Here is a 3,285-nt window from a genome sequence, read left to right on the forward strand (position 1 = left end):
AAACACTTTTAAAACCATCAGATCTCATGAGAACTCACAAGAACTCACTATCACAAGAACAGCATGGAAGAAGCTGCCCCCATGATCCAATCTCCTCCTACTGGGTCCCTCCCTCAACACATGGGGTTACTAGGATTACAATTCAAAATGATATTTGGGTGGGGACACAGCCAAATCATATCTTTGATTTATACATATTTCTCATAAAATAATTGTCTTTTCAAGAAATAACTAAGATCAGAGCAGAACTGAAGGAGATAGAGACACAAAAAACCCTTCACAAAATCAATGAATCCAGGAGCTGGATTTTTGAAAAGATTAACAAAATAGACCACTAGTTAGACTAATGAAGAAGGAAAGAGAGAAGAATCAAGTAGACACAATAAAAAATGATAAAGGGGATATCACCACTGATCCCACAGAAACATAAACTACCATCAGAGAATACTATAAGCACCTCTATGCAAATAAACTAGAAAATCTAGAAGAAATGGATAAACTCCTGGACACATACACCATCCCAAGACTAAATCAGGAAGAAATCGAATCCCTGAATAGACCAGTAACAAGTTCTGAAATTTAGGTAGTAATTAATAGCCTACCCACCAAAAAAGGCCCAGGACCAGACGGATTTATAGCCGAATTCTACCAGAGGTACAAAGAGGAGATGGTACCATTCCTTCTGAAACTATTCCGAAGAATAGAAAAAGAGAGGCCCCTCCGTAACTCATTTTATGAGGCCAGCATCATCCTGATACCAAAACCTGGCAGAGACACAACAAACAAACAAAATTTCAGGCCAATATCCCTGATGAATATCGATGTGAAAATCTTCAATAAAATACTGGCAAACTGAATCCAGCAGCACATCAAAAAGCCTATCCATCATGATCAAGTTGGCTTCATCTCTGGGATGCAAGGCTGGTTCAACATATGCAAATCAATAAAGATAATCTATCACATAAACAGAACCAATGACGGAAACCACATGATTATCTCAATAGATGCAGAAAAGGCCTTCGATAAAATTCAACACCCCTTCATGCTAAAAGCTCTCAATAAACTAGGTATTGATGGAATTTATGTCAAAATAATAGGAGCTATTTATGACAAACCCACAGCCAATATCATACTGAATGGGCAAAAGCGGAAGCATTCCCTTTGAAAACCAGCACAAGACAAGCATGCCCTCTCTCAACACTCCTATTCAACATAGTATTGGAAGTTCTAGCCAGGGCAATCAGGCAAGAAAAAGAAATAAAGCATATTCAAATAGGAAGAGAGGAAGTCAAATTGTCTCTGTTTGCAGATGACATGATTGTATATTTAGAAAACTCCATCATCTTAGCCCCGAATCTCCTTAAGCTGATAAGCAACTTCAGCAAAGTCTCAGGATACAAAATCAATGTGCAAAAATCACAAGCATTCCTATCCACCAATAATAGACAAACACAGAGCCAAGTCATGAGTGAAATTCCATTCACAGTTGCTACAAAGAGAATAAAAAGGAATCCAATTTACAAGGGATGTGAAGGACCTCTTCAAGGAGAACTACAAACCACTGCTCAAGTAAATAAGAGAGGACACAAACAAATGGAAAAACATTCCATGCTCATGAATAGGAAGAATCAATATCGCTTAAATGGCCATACTGCCCAAAGTAATTTGTAGATTTGATGATATCCCCATTAAGCTACTATTGACTTTCTTCACAGAACTAGAAAAAACTACTTTAAACTTCATATGGAACCAAAAAAGAGCCCGTATAGCCAAGACAATCCTAAGCAAAAATAACAAAGCTGGAGGCATCATGCTACCTGACTTCAAACTATGCTACAAGGCTACAGTAACCAAAACAGCATGGTACTGTTACCAAAACAGATATATAGACCAGTGGAACAGAACAGAGGCCTCAGAAATAACGCCACACATCTACAACCATCTGATCTTTGACAAACCTGACAAAAACAAGCAACGGGGAAAGGATTTTATATTTAATAAATGGTGTTGGGAAAACTGACAGGTCATATGCAGAAAACTGAACTGGACCCTTTCCTTACACCTTATACAACTGATGCTGGAGAGGATGTGGAGAAATAGGAATGCTTTTAAATTGTTGGTGGGAGTGTAAATTAGTTCAACCATTGTGGAAGACAGTGTGGCGATTCCTCAAGGATCCAGAACCAGAAATACCATTTGACCCAGCAATGTCATTACTGGGTATATTCCCAAAGGATTATAAATCATTCTGCTATAAAGACACATGCACACATATGTTCATTGCGGCACTATTCACAATAGCAAAGACTTGGAACCAACCCAAATGCCCATCAGTGATAGACTGGATAAAGAAAATGTGGCACATATACACCATGGAGTACTATGCAGCCATAAAAAAGGATGAGTTCATGTGCTTTGCAGGGACATGGATGAAGCTGGAAAACATCATTCACAGCAAACTGACACAGGAATAGAAAACCAAACACCATGTGTTCTCACTCATAAGTGGGAGTTGAACAATGAGAACACATTAACACAGGGAGGGGAACATCATATACCGGAGCTTGTCAGTGGGTGGGAGGCTAGGGGAGGGATAGCGTTAGGAGAAATACCTAATGTAGATGACGGGTTGATGAGTGAAGCAAACCACCATGGCACGAGTATACCTATGTAACAAACCTGCAAGTTCTACACATGTACCCCAGTACTTATAGTATAATTAAAAAATAATAAAATACAAAATTAAAAAATTGTAATTTTTGTATTTATCCCTACCCATGTCAGACTTTTAAAGAAAGAAAAATGCTTCCCTCACAAAATAAATGTAAGCAAAGTAAATTTTCTGAAAATTATTTAAAAATTAATAACTCTTGAACTGTGTCTCATCCCACATCCAGGTTATCTTCAGCAATCTGTGACATTAAAAAAAATTATGGCCATCTCTTATTTGATAATCCTCCTCTCCAAGTGCTGGAAATGGGATTCAGAATGTGTGTCTGGAATTGTTTTTTGTGCACACACATAAGAAAACACTTATGTCCTTAGAACTGTATGGCTTCTATGGACCTGGTGCTGGTGCCAGGTTGTGATCTGCTTCAATCTTCTTTGCATGCTTGGTATCTCCTAGAGACTGGAAGAAAGCCCTTGCACCACTCTTTCATTGCAAGTATTCAGTATTGTGACTTCTACTTCAATTTTCTGTTATAAAAATGATTAACAATTTCCAAGAAACTGGGGTGTAATCTGTCTCTGTAATCAGAGCATTTGGGAAAATAACTTATGCTC

Source organism: Homo sapiens, chromosome 14, assembly GCF_000001405.40.
Source record: "Homo sapiens chromosome 14, GRCh38.p14 Primary Assembly".
Taxonomy (NCBI): domain Eukaryota; kingdom Metazoa; phylum Chordata; class Mammalia; order Primates; family Hominidae; genus Homo; species Homo sapiens.